Below are 21,121 nucleotides of genomic sequence, written 5' to 3' on the forward strand. Positions count from 1 at the left end.
GTTACTTAACCTTTCTGAAATGCAATAGTGTTACCCCCAGTGGCTCTGTGACAATTAAATGTGTCATATATATGAAGTGCCCAGCCCAAAAACCTAGCACAAAATTGTGGTTTAATCCAGATCCCCTCTTTGTTTATCTGTGGATCCTGAAAATTATTTTTCAACATTCTAGCATGTCTTACTCTTTTCAGAGAGAAAGAAAACACTCATTAAAACCTCATGATATATTCCAAGCCCACACCTTAACAGTCCTAAACTGAAAAATAATTTTAGTAAAGTCAAAAACTACTCTGTAAAAGGCCAAGGTGAACTACAAATTGAGTTAATAAAATATGTTCTTATATTTCCTGTTTATTATTGCAATTTTCTTACAGTTATCTAGTTTCTTTTCTTTGAAACATTACTATGAATGCAGTACTTAGAAAATTACACAGAATGCTTGAAACTGAAATTTACACAGAAAAGTAATGTTCAAGATTGGAAAAATATGTTTCAGTATATTAATATCCATATTATAATGTTGTAAGAATGAAATGAGATTATTTATGCAATGTCATACACCCCTGGGCACAGAATAGACACTAAATAAAAGATAGCTTATTTTTGTTATTTTTGCTATTACAACTCAAAGTGGGAGCCAGAGAATAACCTGTTTCTGTAAAAAAAAATTTAAGAAGCAGCAGCATTAGTAAGGAAAGCTAATAACCTAGATTAATGCATCAAGAAATCTATGTAGCAAGTCATTTAATATCCTTATATTTACTTTAAAAATAGAGGATAACACCTTCTAAATTTCCATCCATACACATTTAACTGAAAGGGGCTTGGAGGGAGGGAAAGAAAGATAATAATCGATAATAAAAGAGTCTATTTAATAAAAACAGTGCAATAGCTACAGCAACTATGTAGAGACAAAGCAACAAACAGTTCTCTTGATAGTAATTCATCTTATTGTGACTAAATCTCTTGTAAGAACTCTGTCTCCACTTCAGAAAGCCAAAGTGGATTATGATTTCAAGTCTTAAATATCACTGGGTTTAATACACATAAACCCAATGTTCCTGGTTTGCAGCCTTGTAAAATAAATAGATATAATTGCAGGCAGTTGCATACTAAAAGGAGGATAACACTTCTGTATTCACAGAGATTTGTTTACTGATGACATGAAACATACATGAATATATCTTTTATGTAACATTATAGATACATACACACACAGATTCTACAAACTAAGCTGGTATTAGACATCACAGTCTCAATTCTCTCCAGAAAAAGTAATGACGTTTATGTGTTTTTCTCGAAATCAACATGCTTCTGATGTTTTTCTCATTATGTTCAAACTCATCAAGACTTAAGACATTTCGTTTTCAGTATATCACTTGGCTTGCTTGCGCTTGCACACCTAAATACTTTCCAAATGAAGACTGGATTTTAACATAAGATAGGAAGAAATTCTTTTTGGTGATTTGCCATTTATTTTTCACAAAAGACAGGCACCGCAAAACAGACAAACGTTAAAATATGCTTTTTACTCTAATTTGATGAGGTATGAAGCCCTGTGACTGAAATTGAGAGAAATGAATAATTAAGCATGTCTCACTTCTTGGTCAGGTTTGCACATTGGTATTTACTGTTTCTGCTGCCATTTTACTACGGCATTAGGGAGAAAGGAATGCCAATCTCTGCATCACTGACATTTTAAACATAACAATTTATGCTGTGCCTTTATTTTTATTCAGATGTTAGGAGAACGATCATAGGAAATGACACAATTTAATCCCACAGTGATTTGCTGTAAGCCTACTATGGTGCAAAGCATTTACATTGAAATGTTCTCTTCTTCAATCTAAAACTCTTCAAATGCTTTCCATTGAACTGAGTATAAAACCCTATTGGTCTGTCATTGTTGAGGACAGTGGTCTCTAAGCATTTTTTTCTAACTTGACCCCAAAATAATTGTAAAAACCTAGGTTCTACCCCCACATATTTTAAGCCAGTATTTACATTTTTTCACTGTATAGTTGAAATGTTCTCAAAATACATAGTTTCTGATGTATTTCATCTTATATATGTGATTTATATATTTTAGTTAAATCAGTGAAACCAAAGACATGTTTTTCACTTTTTAACATGTCTTCCTTCTCAAACCATTCAGACAAAACAGACCTAATTTCTGTTAAAAAATAAAATATATGATTTCTTTAAAACACACACACTTTAATATGCCCCCCTGACTAAGAGATTATTTTTAATTCAAACTCTGCATTATATAGAGAAAGATGAACTAATAGATGAGTGGATAAATAGATAGATTAATGGATAAATGATAGATAAATGGTGATGGTTTAGTCACAAACTTGATATGTGAACCTGGTTATATAATTTATTCTCACTCCTAAATTCTCTCAACTCAAAAATGGGCATAATGTTGACAGGAGTTACTACTTAGAATTACTAAGAAAATTTTAAAAATCCAAATTTATTTATGAATCTCAAATAATTACATGCAAATGAAGTAATAGTAACATTAATAATGGCAGTTAACTTTTCTTAAGTATTAACCACATTCCCAAGCACTGTACTAATCGCTTTTCATATACAAGCTCAACTAATCTTTTCAAAAGCCCAGCGAAGTAGACATAACCAATCTCATTTTACAGACAAGAAAATTGATGCTAAGAGAGGCTGTGCAATTTTCCCAGTTCTTACACATACTTAGATATGAAGCGGAGATTTAAAGGTATAGAATGTTCATAATCAGGCTCTTGAATATTTCAATATTCACCAGTATATGTTATATCTCCTTTATCTAAATTGAAAATCTTTAAATGCAACGACCAATTCTCATCTATTTCTGGCATATTTCATAGCACATAATAATGTGAAATGTGTGTGTGTCAATATTTATTTACCAAGCATACTATGCTCTGGTAACTAACAGAAAAATAAGCAAAGCAAATAAATAAATGTTCAGAAACAATGCATATATCACATTATTAAATTGGTATATTACAGAAAACCTAACTGAAATGATTGTGGAAAATACCTGATACACCAACTAAGTTGCACACTTATGTTATCTTTATTATTTTATTGTTTTGTCAAGAGATATTTCAGCCCCAATTGCATCCAGCCTCTGTCTAGGTCAGCATTCTGGCAGAGAGCAGATGGCATATTCATAGAAGGTGACTGTAAGAGTATTTGGAGAAGGTGATAAGTGTACAACAGGCGAAGGGGAAGGCAAGGGATATAACTGAGAGTTAGCAACAGCTCTAAGCTACCAGCAATGTATCAATCCTAGGGGTAAAGGGTCAAGAAGAAGAGGCACTGAGACATCTGCAGCTTTAGGAGAGAGGCACCCAAAATGAGCTAAGACCCTTGGAGGAGGAACTCAGCCACAACATCTCACATGAAATCAATAGAAAGGGAGTCAAGGAGCTCAAAGCCACAAGCTGTTCCTGTCTTCCAAGCTGATGTTGTCTTGCACTGGCCAAAAGCAATATGAAGCCTGAAGGCAAGAGACACTTGTGATGCAACTCCTAAAAGTCCACGGAGGTAAGAGGCTGGTGAAGAGTGGATCTGGAGGGGCAAACAGAGAATATCCATCATAGTCACTGCAGAAAAGTGTCTCTTGTTGGCGGAAGCATGGTTTGAGTGATTTCAGATTAGTGGCTATGCACACAGAGGATGTATTCCAGGCTCTCTGCAAGAAGTATTACAGCAATCTGTAAGTAGAGTGAATCTCAGGGCGGTTCATAAACACACACCTACATAACTTGTTCAGGATAGGTTATACTTTCTTGAGCTTGGGAATATGAGAAACATATTCAAGGCTTTCTTTGTCTTAACTCTTCACTGAGCAAAGGTAGCACTCCCTAAATGACTTACAGGAGAACCAAGAGTTTGCTAGAACAGAGTTTGCTGTCTATCTAGCTACACAGAGTAGATTTAATTATAGAAACAGCCATTTGATTCATTATTAAAACCATATTTTTAAATGACTTCTGTACTTTTACAAAGCATGAGGTTGAATAAACCTACGTAGTGGTTTGAAGAGGTTTAATGTGCTAAAAACAGTCCCTTTTAAGGGGCCAACGTGCTTCAGGATAGTACTTATTTTAAAAATTGATATTAAACAGTGAGGACCTCTTTGTTCCTCCATTTCTTTTATTTGTAAATAAACCAATTAAGTTTTGAATCATTTCTGGCTGACATTCTTTGATTCCCTGTGTTCTTTGACAAGGAATGGGAGCAGGGGAGAGGTTCAGAAAAACCATTACAGGAACAAGGGCTCTCCCTGAGGCAGAATAGAAGAAGAATCAATGAAGATTTAGGCAAAGAGAAATATTTTGAATGTTTTTTTCCCAGAAATTGCCTACTCTGCTTCTTTGCTCACAGTCTCTCAGGGGATAATAAGAACATTCTACTTCATTTCTCTATTTCTTCAAAGAGAAGTTTTAAATTTTATCTTTGGGGGAGATAGCTATTGGTTAAATAACTAGTTCTACATTGTAAATTTAACTTGAGGAATAGTTTCATTTTCCCATTATTAGAAAGGGCTACTATATGTACACACACAGTCTAACAAAAGGTATTAATAAAGAGCTAAATTGTCACTGAGCACACATGCCCTTTGACCTTTGGACGTCTGCATATGCTGTTCCCCTAGTTGGAGTCCTTTCCTTTTTCTTGAAGTCAGTTTCTAGGAATGACTTCTTTTACAGATATAAACTCACAAACTTCTTACCCTGCAAAAGTTTCTTTGACTTTCTTTAACCTTGTCGGTTTTTCCCATTACAGGAGTTCATAGAACCATGACCCTCTCATTAATAATATTTGTCGTAGTTTAGAATTAAATATTTATTTGTGTGATCATTTAATTCACATCCGTGTGCCTTTCCATGAGCTCCATGAAAACAGACAGTCTATCCTGCTCATTCATATGTATCCAGTGGCCTGCCTATAGCAGATACTCATGAAGCTTGGAGAGCCATTGAGTGAAGTGCATTTGCATACATGATTTTGTAACTTGCTGTAGTGTCTGTTTTGTGTTTCAGATGGACATGTTTTCAGAAGAGGCACCATACACACTGGGCAAGGGAAGTGTTATCAAAAGTGTTTTGCCATGAGTCCTCCTGATTCATGGCAAAACACTAACGTGGTATGTGGCTTCCGTTCATACCATCTGAGAATAGATGATTGATGGTTTTATTTATTTTCTTCTGGAGCAGGATTTCCAAAGCATCTACACTAAACCTGCACTAGGTTTGTGTTCATAATCTCCAACCTAAAATTCAACCTCAGCACTGTTGGCATTCTGGGCTGGTTAGTTCCCTGTTGTGGAGGCTACCCTGTGCATTGTATGATGTCTAGTAGCACTCCTGACCTCTAACCACTAAATGCCAGTAGCAGCTTCCACCACTCCCACAGTAGAAACAAACAGAAATGTCCTCAGACATTGCCAAATGTCCCCTGGAAGAAAAAAAAAATGACTCGCAGTTGCATACAACTGTTCTAGAGGAGTTCCTTGACAGATTCAAATCAATATATAAGTGTAATGGAAAGGGTGCTGTTGAAATACTAGTGCAAGGTTTTTCCAATATATTTCACAGTAGAAAAGACCAGTTCAGCATGTTAGTCCTCATTGCAAGGCCCACTAAGATTATTAATTCAAATTGTTGCCATTCTTAATGGTTTTACTCATGGTTAAAAAAGTATCTTAATCTGTAATCATTCTGTAGTAAAAGTTGAGTTTTCATAAATCAAATAAACAAACAAAAAAATACACCAGACTTATAACATCTAGAATTTCACTCAGGTTCCCTTCGTTTTTAATTAAGTCTTTTGAATTTGGTTCTCAAGTAAAAGTTTCAAGAAAAAGTTGAGTTTTCACGAATCAAATAAATAAATAAAAATATAGGCCAGACTTCTAACATCTAAAATTTCACTCAGGTTCCCTTTGTTTTTAATTAAGTCTTTTGAATTTGGTTTTGTTTCTCTGCACATAAGCTCACTTTAATATTGCTATACAAATTAACGTACGCTAAAACTTGACAAATAGAATTGGACAAGGTTCTAGAGGAAATTTAGTTGTAGTAAACTGAAAATTTTGGTTTAAAAATTACCATTGACAATACACTTCTTGCATTTCCTAGGTACTAGGTGCTCATTACTTTAAGACAATCTAAGAATAATTTTGCAGGTAAGTAGATTTACCTTTGCTTTTGATAGCATCCTAAAGTAGTCCTTCTGGGTGATACTATTGTTTTGTAAATAAAGGTAGATGAAAGAAAGGATTAGCAATTATCCCAATCTAGATTATGCAAGCTACTAAGTTGGACAATGTGTTCACAAGATGCCTTTTTCCGCTCTTGGGTTACATGCAAGATCACCATTAATCTGATTCTGTTCATAAACTCTGACTTCAATTTCTACATCAATAAAATGGTTATATTAGATATAACTACCTTCTACTTTGGAGTAACAGTGAAGATATGGTATATAAACCTGTGTATCAAATAAATGACTTATGTCCAATAAAGAATATCTGAATTTTTAAGTAAATCAATAAAACCATTAACATCTTTATTTTTAAAATAAGTTTTCTATATATTTGTTTATTTCTTCAATAAATGCCAAACACTGTTAAAAAATAATTTCTGTGGGTAGAAGAAAACTGATTTTATAATTATCTTAAAACTGCATACCTTTCTATTCTTCATAGCCTTTAATAATTAAATGTACATATATTTTGTCATTATACAGAAATGATTTATTATTTAACAGCATTGGATGGACACTACAAATCTCAGAAAGAAGCAATCTTAGAAAAAAATTATGATCTATATTGGAAGCAACCTAAATGAACTTTTCATTTTTCTTTACTTTCAACTAATTTTCTTAATTCTTGTATGGCAAAAGGTATACTTACTTAAATGATCATTTAAAAATAAATGAAAACAGTTACTTTGCTTAAAAATGACTAAAGTTCAAACTTACAGCTTTTGCTGTTGTATTCCTCGGCCCTTTTACACTTCATTTTCTTTATTGGGTCATGCATTTGTATGCTTCTAAATAAGTTACTTTTTTTAGCAGACTTTTGAGATAAGATACAGACAGAATTGCAGAACCTGTTTTATTTCCTCAGGAAGAATCTCAGATGGGAGTGGTGCATAAGACCAGACTGCAGAACATAAAATGGTTTTCTCAAGTCTACACTAGCTAGAAAGCAATCACCCTTCTTCTTTCTTTTTATTTGACCCGAAAGGACTTGTGTACTGATTTACACAATTCTATGCCATTTGTGTGTGTTTATGTGTATGTGTATGTGTTATGCAAAAATGAGTCTTTCCACAGGGAATTTTGCTGTATTTCCTTTTGACTGAGTATGAATTATGCTGTAGATAGATTTATGAAATATAATGCTAATTTGGATGGTCTCATATTGACTTGTAGGGTGATACTGTCCTCCTTCAAAAGGCCCTAGAGAAGTTCTTTTTTCACTTCTGCATATTACTTTTCAGTCGAAATGTCAGTTGCAAGCTTTTCTCAGGCAGCTATAAAGGAGAATTTGTACTTCTGCATAATATCTAATGTACCACATTCATATTAATGTTTGAAAGAGAGAAAACTAGAGAAACCTAGTAAAACATTGTAATAATAAACATGAAGTAGAAGGAAGCTATCATTAACTCAATTTGTAGCTCAGCATGGCATTTTACAGATGTGACAGAAGTCTTTAATTTGAACTCAAAATAGAGAAGTGTGAGTTTGGAAATGAAATATACCATGGAGTTACAACGAGTGTTTCCTTTCTCTCAGAAAAAAAGGCAAGAAATTGAACAAAAGTTAAAGTCATCTTTTCAGGAACCTCAGACAAAGATCAAAACCTTAAACCAAACACGCCAATGTTTCAGGTTTTGTTTGCTTGTTCTTACATCTTAAGCCCATGGTAGTACTCTAAAATATGGAGTCTAAAGAAAGGTGGGCAAATTTGATGTTCAGAACACAGACTGACAAACAACGTTTAGTTATTTCCCTTCAGCCTTATGTAATCAATAGTCCCGTTAGATAAAATAGGCTTTTCTAAGAGGAGATGATTAGGATTACAGAGGAGTATCTGAAAGGTTCAGAGGGGATAGAAAAGATTTAAGCTTTATTACTGACCAGACCAAGATATGCAAAGTAGACTCTAATAACAAACAAAACAACAAAAACATAGTTAAGCAAGTACCAAATACAAAATCTTAGGAAAACAAGAGTACAAAAAATTGGAAATTATTATCTGAACAGTGGGGAGATATATACTCATATATGAAAGAAGGTTAAGGCCGGGCGCGGTGGCTCATGCCTATAATCCCAGCACTTTGGGAGGCCGAGATGAGTGGATCACGAGGTCAGGAGTTCAAGACCAGCCTGGCCAACGTGGTGAAACGCCATCTCTACTAAATATACAAAAATTAGCCAGGCGTGGTGGCGGGCGCCTGTAATCCCAGCTACTCAGGAGACTGAGGCAGAGAATTGCTTGAACCCGGGAGGTGGACGTTGCAGTGAGCCGAGATCATGCCACTGCACTCCAGCCTGGGCAACACAGTGAGACTGGCTCAAAAAAAAAAAAAAGAAAAAAAAGAAAAAGAAGGTTAGATGGAAGAAGGGTTGTGATGAAGTGATGAACAGATATATATGCAGTTATGAAGCATTGAGCTCATGACATCATGAGCTTTATTCTATGGTTACTGTAAGAAAGGTTAAGAACAACTGCTCTGAAACCCAATCACCATGGTGGGTAGACTATACTGAACACATTATTGGTTTACAGATGCTCCTATATGAGGTCAATGTGCAATTCCCAACCTACCTATCTTAGCATTTACCTGAAAGACATGGTATTTAATCTTAATGTCTCAAAAAATTTTATTCTCCCCCGACCTTTTTTGTTTTTTTCACCTTTTAGTGACTCTTGTCATTATTTAAAACTATTTGCAAGAATTTTCTGAGTAAAACATTGGCTCTGCTTCCAGGCGTCTCATCCTCTTAGAGGTGAGGTGGTCTTCTATTTAACAAGGTACCTTATTTGGGTTTCTTAATTTCATAGAAGGACCTCATTCTTACCTTCTAATGTTTATGGATCTGGCTCTAAGTAGAAATGCACATTTAATCACAACCCCCCTTCCCTCTAACTTTCTGCTGCTCTCCTTCAGGAAAAGCTCAGACTCAAGGAGCAATCATTACGAATGATGATGAGGTGACGTGCAAGCCATCCATTTCCCTAGATACTATAAATTGAAGTCTAGATCAAACCAAACTATTTGACAGTTCCATACCAAGATGTTTTGTAGAAGTGTTCTTATTACTACGTGATGCCTTGTCATAGAGTTGTATTGAGCATTTCATAAGAAACAAATGTATGAAACACACCACTGATTTGATCGTAGGTATGCTATCTATAACATCACATTGTTTCCCCTTATCAGGATCACAGGATAAATTTCTTGCATGGTTTTTAACCTGAAAAACCTATAATTTGTTTAAGCAACCAGACCCTCCCAACTCTGAAGTTTGTTCTGTTTCCCTTCTCAATTCAGCCGCAGATACAATTTTCTCGTCCACTTTTGGCATCTTTTCAGGGAAACGCACCTGCCTTAATCTTGCTTCACCTTCACCTCCATCCTCATTAATGTATTTTATCAGATTATAATATATGTATTTTTATAAGCCTTTAAAATATTTTTAGAATAAGACAAGCTATAAATATAAGAATGAATAAATGAATAGTAAATGACAGAGAGGGTGTGAATACATAAATTAAAACTTCATAGTCTGAAGGGAGAAGAAAAGCTCAAATGTTACTTTGCAAAACCCAGAAGTTGATTTGAAGGATTACTTCACATGAAACAAAAGGCAGGTCAGCCTTCAGGAATAGTACAGCAAACTTAGCATACTCTCCAGGAATTGTTCACCGATTTTGTCTTTTTAAGTAGCATATCAATAATACATTCCACCTCACTTTTTGCATCTGATATAGGAGTGAGACTATGAATCTCAAAGTCCCAAATGGTGGGCTGCCTTCCTGATTTTTTATGACGTTCTCAAAAAGTGAGTGACAGATACCACTCTTTAGTCTTCTTCCCTTGTATGCACATGTACTTAGCCTAACCAAAGTATAACACTCACTTAAATATTTCCAGTTAAATTAGGATAATACAAATTGTAATGGCCGTAGACTCTAATTATTCTAAATTGTTAAGCTATATACCACTCGTTTGTAAATGCTAACTTTATTTTTTTCCAAGAGTGCTTTTAGAGATGAAGACATTCCTGCTCACTCAAGTAACTGTAGGATAAGTTAATCAGAAATACCTAGATCATAAAAAGCTAAAAAAAAAAAAAAAACTTGCAAGGTATGTATAGTTTAACATATTTCTGTTAAGATTTCTTTATTGATATTTTCCCTGGATGTTAAAATTTCCCTAGATTTGAGTATTTACAATAATAATTCCTCTGGCCTCACCTCCGTTTCACATGTGCACTCTCTCATTTAAGACACATCTCAAAATTCTCTACAACGGGCACCCTGATTTAAAGAAACCACAGTGATTAGTCCAGTGCTTTTTGTACTCTAAAGCTTTTATGAATTTTGTTAGTTGATTACTACTTCTCATTCATTCAAATATAGATTTTTAACACCTTTCAAATTAGTTGTATGAGAAAAACAAAGTTGCAAGAAAACAGCACTGAGAAGAAGGTTAAGAATTGTGGCTTGCTTACTGAGTCTTTATTTCAGTTAAGCTTCTGGGGCCTTAGTATTCTCAGTTATGAAATGAAAAAGTTGGACTTTAGGATCTTTAAAGGCTCTGCCTCGTGTTGAACACTATTGTTGTTAATTTATTTATGTATCTTATATAGTTTTTTGTATACATATAAGAAATTATATATATATACACATATATATTTAAGTCTATGTGCCTTCTACAGCTTGTTCAAATAGATTTCTGGGTCTGATTTCTTTCTCTTTACAATTTATTTATCATTATTATTCCAAGAAGAGTATACTGTTTAGGCTAAGCTAATAATGGACAATTATTTATAACAGTTTTGTTGTGTTTTCTATGAAATTATGTTTTTCCCTAAGGAATTTTATTTGTGATATCATACTGCCTATTTTCTCACAAATGTCCCACAGATGTAGCAAATCATCAATCCTTCGAGGTTAATTGGAGCCTGGATGATAGCATGTGTTCCCTGTTGTTCAATCTGACCGAGAGGAATATTCTCATGAGAAGCAGAACAGATATTTCAAACTCAGTTGTATGTAGCCTCAGAACATCCTAAAAGCATAACAAATTGGCATGGTCTGTGTGGGCCTGATGCCTCCCCGCTCCACACCACCAGCACTCACAGACATTGCCTTGCCCAGTTATTCGAAATGCAATAATAACTTTATGTATGATTTGTCTCCAGGTAGAATAGGTAAAAGACAGAGAAAAATGCAAATTGGAATCTTATTATATAAATATGAATTTATCTATGAATACACGTATATTATATATGATATGTAATATATGTTGTACTGTGTGTAATGATATATATGTAATATATAAACTAAAGGATAATTATAATAAATAATACACAACTATATATGTATTTGTATATAGTTATATGTGAATTTATGTATACTATGTAGTATATGTTTTATATTCAGTATTTTGGGCTGTAGTGTGTATAATATATGCAATAAATATGCTTAATAATATGTATATGCAATGCTTATAATATATATATAAATTGAAAAATCTGTAATAAATGCAGCCATATACACACTTATTATATTATATATTATTTATACAAATATATAAAATATGGGTTGGGCATGGTGGCTCACACCTGTAATCCCAGCACTTTGGGAGGCCAAGGCAGGTGGATCATGAGGTCAGGAGATCGAGACCACCCTGGCCAACATGGTGAAACCCCGTCTCTACTAAAAATACAAAAATTAGCCAGGCGTGGTGGCATGTGCCTGTAGTCCCAGCTACTTAGGATGCTGAGGCAGGAGAATCACTTGAACCCGGGAGGTGGAGGTTGCAGTGAGCCAAGATCGCACCACTGCACTCCAGCCTGGGCGACAGAGCAAGACTCCGTCTCAAAAAAAACAAAAACAAACAAACAAACAAAAATATACATATACACACACATATACATATATATACACACATATACATATATACATATATATACGACATAGAGAGAAAGAGACAGAGACACTAGTCCTAAATCCTAGGCCACAGTTGTTCAACCTTTTGGCTTCCCTGGGCCACACTGGAAGACGATGAATTGTCTTGGGCCATACATAAAATACATTAACACTAAGGAGAGTTGATGAGCTAAGAAAAAAGTTTGGGCATAATTTTCATATCTGCCACCACAGATAAGCAAAAACATCCTCACATTCAAAGGGTTGGACATCCATGTCCTAGGCTTTCTGTTGCAAAGCCGAAAACTGAAATTTAAAAAGTTTATTGTTTTTGTTGCTTCTTTCGTTGCTGCTTTAATTTTTAAAAGCATTGCTTTAAATACCACAGCAGTATTTACAGCTTGAACCTGAGGGCTGAGATAGACATGTGATAATACAAGAACTCAGCTCCATCTTTCTTCCCCTTCGAGTTGGGAAACCTGGAGTCATGGTAGGAGGACAATAAAATCCCTTAGATCTGGAGAAAACCTGTGCCCACAGGCAGGTGGGTCTCTGGGAGTGGAGGACCATAGTGTACAATTGGCCATTCAAAGTGCCACCAGGAAAGCCAAGATGAAGGCAGGATATACTTAGACAGAAAGAGCCTGAGATAACCAGCAGGACTTGAAGGTCACTTGGAGTGGGTGTTGCTGTGTGAGCCACAAATTCCACCCCAAAGAGGCGCTGGGTAAGCACCAGCTAAGTGAGAGACCAGATGGAAAATGCGCTGAGTCTTGAAGGATGAGCAGCAGCAGAGTGAGCCACATGGGGCTGCTCAGTCAGGGATTTGGGCAGTGAATGCAGTGCATTAGAGGCTGATACCCAGGACCTAGTGGAACAAGCTACACCCCAGTGGACGTCCTGGAGGAATGACAGCAAATGCCTCTCCTTTCATGTCTTTTATCTCTGTAGGGAGAAGAGAGAAAATAGATTCAAAATAATTTACATTTGAAATAGAAAGCGAGGAAACTCCCACTGGGGCCACATCAAGGTCCTCACTTTGATGTGTGCCAGTTAACATTAATTACAGGGAAACAAACAAAGTTCCACACACTGGATGCTGTGGCTATAAATGTTAAATGTAATACAGCTGCACATCTTCATGCAGCATATCAGTTCATCCCAATGACAATAAAATAAAGCAGATACTGCAGAGGGGATTACAGATATGGAGATCAGCAGACGCACCCATTACCTGCTCACCACTCACTAGTCTCCGATAAAGGGTTGGATTTACTAGGAGGTTATGTGACATGGCCAAGCTAAGAACCACCGGAAGTGGAAGTACTCTCATTCCAGTGCACTTTTCACTATGGCAATCTGCAGGCAAATGTCTGCTTTAATAATCGAGAATCTACAAAATCTTATCCTTAACTAATCGTTGTTAAACTGGACAAAACACATTAATGGGAATAAAAGTGAAAAAAAACTTTCACCCACAATTCTACCATCTTAACAAAACCAATAAACTTCCCTTTTCCACATGAACTAACTGAAAGTTATCATGTATAAGCAAGAATGAACTGTATAAATTCCCAATCCAAAGTATGTAAAACCATACACTATGGTCTATATTATTTTGTGTGCATTTTTTGCTTATTTCTTCTTACGGATCATATTTAATGAATGCTTTATTTCTTAAGTAACCTCACCTCAGTTAGAATGGTTAGAATGGCTATTATCAAAAAAGACAAGAAAAGAAAATTAACAAATGCTGGCGAGGATGTGGTGAAAAGGCAACTCTTACATGCTGTTGGCAGGAATGTAAATTAGTACAATCATTATGGAAAACAGTATGTAGGTTGCTTAAAAAACTAAAAATAAAATTATCATATGCTCCAGCAATCACACTTCTAGGTATATATCCAAGGGAATTGAAATAAGCATGTTGAAGAGATATCTGCACTTCAGTTCATTGCCACGTTATCCACAGTAGCCAAGATGCAGAGTCAACCTAAGTGTCCATCAGCGGATGAATGGATAAAGAAAATGTGGTAAATATACACAATGGAATACTATTCAGCCACAAAACAGAATGAAATCCTGTCATTTGCTGCAACATGAATAAACCTGGATGACATTATACTGTTATTTTCTTAACCATTCTCTCCTGTTGAACATTTAGATGATTCACAATCATTTATAAAGGTTCTTGCCAACTCAGTGGACATGCATGGAAACAGCCTTAGGGTTCAGATTTTTCCTAAGAACAAAAGGAACAGCGCTACCCAGAATTCAAAAGGCAAATATTGCCTTTAGATTTGAAGAATGGCTCTATCTCATTAATCCATTTTTAGGAGAAAAAGTACAGTAACATCTCATACAGTATAAACACAGCCAGTTCATCAGAATGCAACATCTGTTTACGGATTACTAAAGTATGTAATCCAACATTTTAGAAGTTTAAAATTTAGGAAAAAAGAAAACCTTTAAAAGTTATGATTGAGTCCTCACAATGAAAGAAAGTAAGAACACTTGATTTTTACCATCCTTTCCCCAATCTGCATTATGAAGTGTTTTTTTCCCCCTCTGGGAATTAAGTATTGATTTTTAAAGGCATATTTAGACAATTTTGCTAAGAAAAGTAATCTGTGAAAATAGTTTCCTGTGACTTTTCATTTAAAGACATCAGCACTTAAAGCATCTGACAGAATGTTACAATGCTTGCATCAATATTCAACGGTAAATTATATTTAAGTACAAAAAGTATAATAGTTGAAGACCAAGATGCTAATGGATAGGAACAACTAATGTCTGATTTTCTACAAACTCCTTGCAGAATTCTAAAGAAGACGTATGACCATCAGATTAGCAACTGTTATATAAAGCTTATTTCTTCAATGATTTTTTCAACATTAAATATTGTTGTCTTTAAGGACACTCTTAGAAAACCCTCCATGTAGCATGTTGTATGGAATGAACGAGACTTTTTCCTTTTTGTTTCCCTTGATACAGTTGCAGATCTTTATGTACTGCAGAGTAGGTAGAAACAGTAACAGAAGAAACCTTGACATGGGTTGAATCTTTTTAAAATATAGACTTTATTTCTTAGCACAGCTTTAGGTTTACAGAAAAACTGAGAATACAGTACCAAGTTCACATGTACTCCACATCTTCTTTCTCCTGAAATTATTACGTTAGTATGGTACAGCGTTAAAATTAATAAACCAGTATTAATGAATTATTATTAAGTAAAGTCAGTCTTTATTCAGAGTCCTTGGTTTTTACCTAATGTCATTTTCTTGTTGCTGTTTCGGGATTGCATTCAGGATAGCACATTACATTTTTCTCACTAATCTTCTTAGGCTTATCTTGGTTGTGACAGTTTTTCAGATTTTCCTTGTTTTTCATGACTTTGGTGGTTTTGGTCAATATTGGTCAGCTATTTTGCAGAATGCTACTCTGTTGGAATTTGTCTGATATTTTCTCATTAGTAGAGTAGGGCTCTAGGCTTTGGGGAGGAAGACCAGATAGGTAACATACCCTTTGCATCACCTGTTATCAAGCGTGAATACTAGCAGCATAATCTACCACTGCTGATGCTAACCTGGATCCCCTGGCTCTTCTGCTGAGCAGATTTGCCTATTCTCCCTACTTATTTATTTAATCATTTATCTATATCAGTATGCACTCATGGGAGCATTTCTTTACTTTCCAGCACTATAAGATCCTCCAGAATCATCTTATGTATCTCCCTTCCCAGCACCAGAATAATATATATTTTTTCTGAGGAGCTCTAGGTGCCAGGAGTGTTCATTGTTACTGGGGTATCATTGTTCCTAAGCCCTCTCAGCAGACAGAGCAAGGAAATACATGTGTGTGTGTACCAACCCATGTATAGGTTGAGTTTTAATCAATCATTAGATAAAATAGGTGTTTTGCCTTAAGATTGTCTGTGCTCTTTGACTCGTTTGGTGTAAAAAATAATATGTTTTAATATTTTTTTGAATTTTTAAAGGGAAATAGTAAGTTGTAGTGAACTCTTAGTCTCCAAATTGATGATAACTGATGGTAATAATAACAATTAACCATTGGATTTTTGTTAAATGAAAACACACAGGCATAATTCTAATATAAAAATCTGCATTATCACACTTCTCTTGAAACATTAATAAGTAGAAATTTTCAATACAGTTGATAGGCTGTTGTATGATTGCTTTATTTTGTATGTTTGCTTTGCCAGGATACTAGTAAACTGGCAACTAATCAAAAGACACAACATGGCCTAATCTTTCAAATTTAACTGCTCTACTTGACAAATGTGCCAAATAATATTTTTAAAAGCTAAAAGAAAATCTTTTCAAGCTGTGGAAGGTGTTTCTATGAGATTAATTTGTGGCCAGTAGTTTACTTATTATTTAGTCAATATCATTGCTTGTTAATTTCAATTTGTGACTAATCTTACCTTAGATTTCATTATGTACTTTAGAAGATTCCTAAGTTTTTAATAAGAAAAAAGTAAAATATTGTCCAAGTAACTTGGGAAAGTTATTCTAAAGAGTTTAATGTTTTCAGTAGTTCATAACTGAGATTATAAATTAAATATTTTTACTTCTTTCCTTTTTAAAAATTTTCCTCTCCAAGATTAACTATTTTTCTAATTACTTTATTATTTCAAACAATTAATTTAATTATTTTAAATAAATTACTTGGAAAAATAGTGACAGTGCTGTATAATAAGTAGGGAGTTTCCAATTTGATACAACTTGATCTCAGTAGTAAATCAAGATAACAAATTAATACAGTTGATTTAGTTGGAATACATTCCTTTTAATTTGGATGCTTTTGTGTTGCCATGAAAATTTGTCATTTAAAAAATCAGATAAGCATTTTAAAATAAAGAATAGGTTAAATTGTAAATATAGACCTTTAATTTACCACAAATTACATTCCTGGAAAAGATATTTTAAGTCTAATATGAATTTTCAATTTAAAACAATGTTAAAAAGCAAGTCTAGTGTAAAAAAAAAAACGAGAAAAAGAAAAGTAAAATGGCTCCAGATCAAATTTTATGCTAATAAAATGGTAAACCTTTAGAATAGATTATGTGGTTTTAAGAATATTTTCTAAATAAAAGAGGGCAATAAGTATTAAACATCTAAGTATACCTTTTTTAAAGAAAAAATATTTATTAAGCATGCAAAATATCTGCCACCATACTAAGTGTTTTTTTTTATTAATTTGTATTTTTATGTTAAGTTCCGGGTACATGGGCAGTATGTGCAGGTTTTTACATAGGTAACCGTGTGTCATGGTAATCTTAAACCTTTAAGAAAATGTTCTGAAATTGGGAATGGCAGACTCTGGCTTAGAATGAAGCAGCTGCAGGATGTATGGTCATGTGACTTTGGATGTGTGTGCTGAAATTGCAGTGGTGTTACTGGCCCATGTTGCCTCAAGTGTGCTCTGGGGAGCATGAGTTGAGTGGGACATTAATAGCTACGATTCAAATAAGGGTCTTCCAATAATTAAAATGTGAAAGACACTGGGTTAGACAAAAGAAACAGAGTGTTTGTTTGTTTGTTTTGCTGCAGAATTTCAAAAAGCCTTTACTATACAAACGTGCCTCATGAATCTTCAAGTAAGAACATTTCCCCATGCTTACTTGCTCAAATAGGTAATTGTGGAGCACAAAACTCTCACCCTGTTCATTAACATAGAGAGAGAGAGAGAGGGAGAGAGTTATCTTCCTCAAGACTGAAGGTATGCCATGCATTTTACATGTGATATATTTCATCCTTATGATAAACTATAAATTTGTTATTATTATTTTCTCTTCTATAGATAACAAAATGGAGGGTAACAAATTAAATAATCTTCTCAGTTTCAGTCAATTAGAAAAAGGCAGCTGGAAATATGAATCCCCTTCTCCCTGAAGTCCTCCGTTACTCTTTCTTCTAGTCTAAATACCTTTTGGAAAATTTTAGAACATAAATAATATATCCTATGACATATGGATAATTATCAGTGAAACAACAAAACAGAATTGAGATCTCCACTACTCTTTCCTCTAGTCTAAATAGCTTTTGGAAAATTTTAGAATATTTCCTATGTTATATGGATAATTATCAGTGAAACAACGAAAGAGGATTGAGAGATTACCACCACCGCCATCTCCATCAATCCTTCCTCTAAACCCATCCCAGTTAATTGTACACTCTAACAACAAACAGTGTGTTTGCTAGGCATAGGTAGGTAGTGAGGCTTCCTCTCCAACTTGATTGCATTATTTGAACCCTTTCAAAAGAGAAATTCTGGAGAGTCCACTGATAATATCAGTTTTTCTCTTTGCTAGTTGCCTCACATATAAATCACACTCACTTTTAAGTAATTTAGTTACCCTGGATAACCAAGAGCAAGAGGTAATTTCTTATATTCGATTTCCACTTAGTACACACAGTGAAAGGGGAAAGATCTGCTCATTTGCAGAAACATGTTAACGTTAGTCAGGCACTCCCTTTTATGTAACACTATCAGATGCTTTCTCTCTAGATTTTTCCAGCGCCCACTGGAGTTTTCAAGTTCATGTTAGGACAAATACAGTGTATACTAAGCTGAAATCAAATATAAGAGAAATGAACTCTTGCTTTTAGTTATTCCAGGTAACTAAATTACTGAAAGTAAGTGTTATTTATTGTTTGAACACACACTTATACTGTGTGTACTTGGCATACATAAGTCCATATACAATATGGCATAATTTAATGGAAGGAGCTCAAAACCTGAGACCAGAATAGCTAGTTTCAATTTCTGGTATTTCTACCAGTAATAACTGAACTTACGCAAAGTCACTATCTCAATGAAAACCAGAGATCACAAACCTTACAAGAAAAGTAGCTGAAGTTGAGGTCTATGTAATGTTAACATTAGGCCCATAAAATCAATATTAAATGCAAAGATGAATGACACAGGTAAAATTGTTAAGGGAAAAGATCTGCTCATTCTCAGCAACATGTTAATATTAGTCAGGCACTCCCTTTTATATCACACTATCAGATACCTTCTCTTTAGACTTTCCCAGCACCCATTGGAGTTTTCAAGTTCATGTTAGGACCAACATGATTTTGAAGACACAGGTGCCTCTCTCAGTGACTCTACCTCCAGCCACAGAGGTCTTCCTAAACACAGGCAACTCTCCTCTGAGTTTCTTCCAGGTTTGGCATCATGCACCACTCTCCACACTCTATGCACTTGGAAGCTAGAACCTATTCCAAGTTGACTATGCAACTGATGTAATAGATCAGTGGCAGAACATTAACTAAAAACTCTTCAAGAATAGTATTTGAAAAAAATTTTAATGTGTCCACGTGGAAAATCTGATGAAAAACATCAGCAGTATAGATTGCAATTGCCAGAATGCAAACCTCAAGGGGCAGATGCTGTCCATTTTATTCACTGTTGTACATCCTGCAATTTTCTAAGTGTGTCTGGCTCATGCTAGGGAAGTAAGAACTCAAATAATATTTGTTGAATGAAGAATGAATATTAAAATGATGAAAAAACTAAGTGCCTAAAAATAAAGTCATGGGTCTGTACACACTTATGTAAAAATATGAACAACTAAAAACATTACTTGGAACTTTGGGGATCTTTGGGTTAAAATATCCAAAATGATGCTCCAGCCAAGGTAATGATTGGCATAAAATAAATTTGGACCTCTCTCAAGGAAATAAAAGCATGTGAACAATGATATTGTCACTATAGATTTCCACACTATTCATATAAATCTCCATAATATTTCTATTTATGTGATGTACTTAACTACATAATAGTACCATATTTATTTGGTGGTTTTTTGGCAAATTACAGAAATTAGTGTATTTCATCTTCCCTTGTGAAACAGGAAAGGCTGATATGATTACTGCTAGTTCACAGATGAAGAGATTTAGGCTTAAAGATATTAAAGGTCTTATAAAGATACACCAATCAACTGTTAAGACCCTGTTTAGGAAGAAAATGTAAATAATAAAAAAAGTAGTAAAAACAACATAACAATAATAATAATAAAACAAATGTATCCAGATATTACTCAAAGCCCTTTCATATTGAGCTCTTACCAATGACACTGTGAGGTTTGCAATAGTTTTAATTCAATTTATCAGATGCAACAGCAATGGCCTGGTAAGACTAAATAACCCTCACTCACTCATTGATGTATCTAGTAAATCACGGACGTGGGAATCAAACCTATGCTTTCTGACACCAAAACATGCTTCGGAAAGCCTGGCTGCCCACTGCTCAATTCTTAATCCTATTTTCACCATGACCTCTATAATTGTATGTGTTGAGATGATGCACACAAATATATTATCTGTCTTTCTGCAATCCTTATTATAAATATTACACATCTGTCCTAAAATTGCATATGCACTTGGAATATTTTTTTAATTAATGGTGGTGGGCCACGTCTACTAAGTTTACCTAGATCCTGTTCTAACCATTAGTTATAAGTCAGCCACCCAATTAAGGAAGATATTTGTGATTGTGAAGCTCACAGACCAACTAATTACATATGTCAACTAACTGGTTGTTGATATACACTGGTGTATACAGAGAGGCAGGAATGACTCCAGCAGCTCCACACAATTCCCAGCAACCAGCTATATTTCTCTTCTATGCAAGCTGCTGGGAAACTTCTTGAGTGCAGTAATAATGTTAAGGGCACCACTATCCTACCGACCTTCTCTGTCTCTTAACTGTTGCATAAGATTATAAACTTTCCAACAGACATTCACAGTGTATGCTCAAATCACGTGTCTATGTGAACTCAATACCCTCTCAAATATTCAGTATGCATGAATTTTATCTTAGCTTTTATCCTTTTCTCCAAAGCTGAAGCTTAAGCAGACACTTTGACAAGAAAAGTAGACCAGTAATTAATTCATTCAAGCA

General features: G+C 34.7%; 1 protein-coding gene across 13 annotated transcripts in view, besides 1 other annotated feature; it reads right to left on the reverse strand.

Annotated features, from left to right (window-relative positions):
• Positions 1 to 21,121, reverse strand: part of GRIK1 (glutamate ionotropic receptor kainate type subunit 1) — a 403,064-nt gene that overhangs the window by 378,797 nt on the left and 3,146 nt on the right. The gene's annotated exons all lie outside the window — the stretch shown is intronic.
• Positions 12,896 to 13,472: an enhancer, noted in NCBI's record as "OCT4-NANOG hESC enhancer chr21:31300943-31301519 (GRCh37/hg19 assembly coordinates)". NCBI's record gives its function as "activates a minimal SCP1, AML or CMV promoter by ChIP-STARR-seq in naive and primed H9 embryonic stem cells {active_cell/tissue: H9 hESC(naive and primed)}" and the evidence as "EXISTENCE:reporter gene assay evidence [ECO:0000049][PMID:30033119]".

The sequence above is a fragment of the Homo sapiens genome, chromosome 21 (assembly GCF_000001405.40).
Source record: "Homo sapiens chromosome 21, GRCh38.p14 Primary Assembly".
Taxonomy (NCBI): Eukaryota; Metazoa; Chordata; class Mammalia; order Primates; family Hominidae; genus Homo; species Homo sapiens.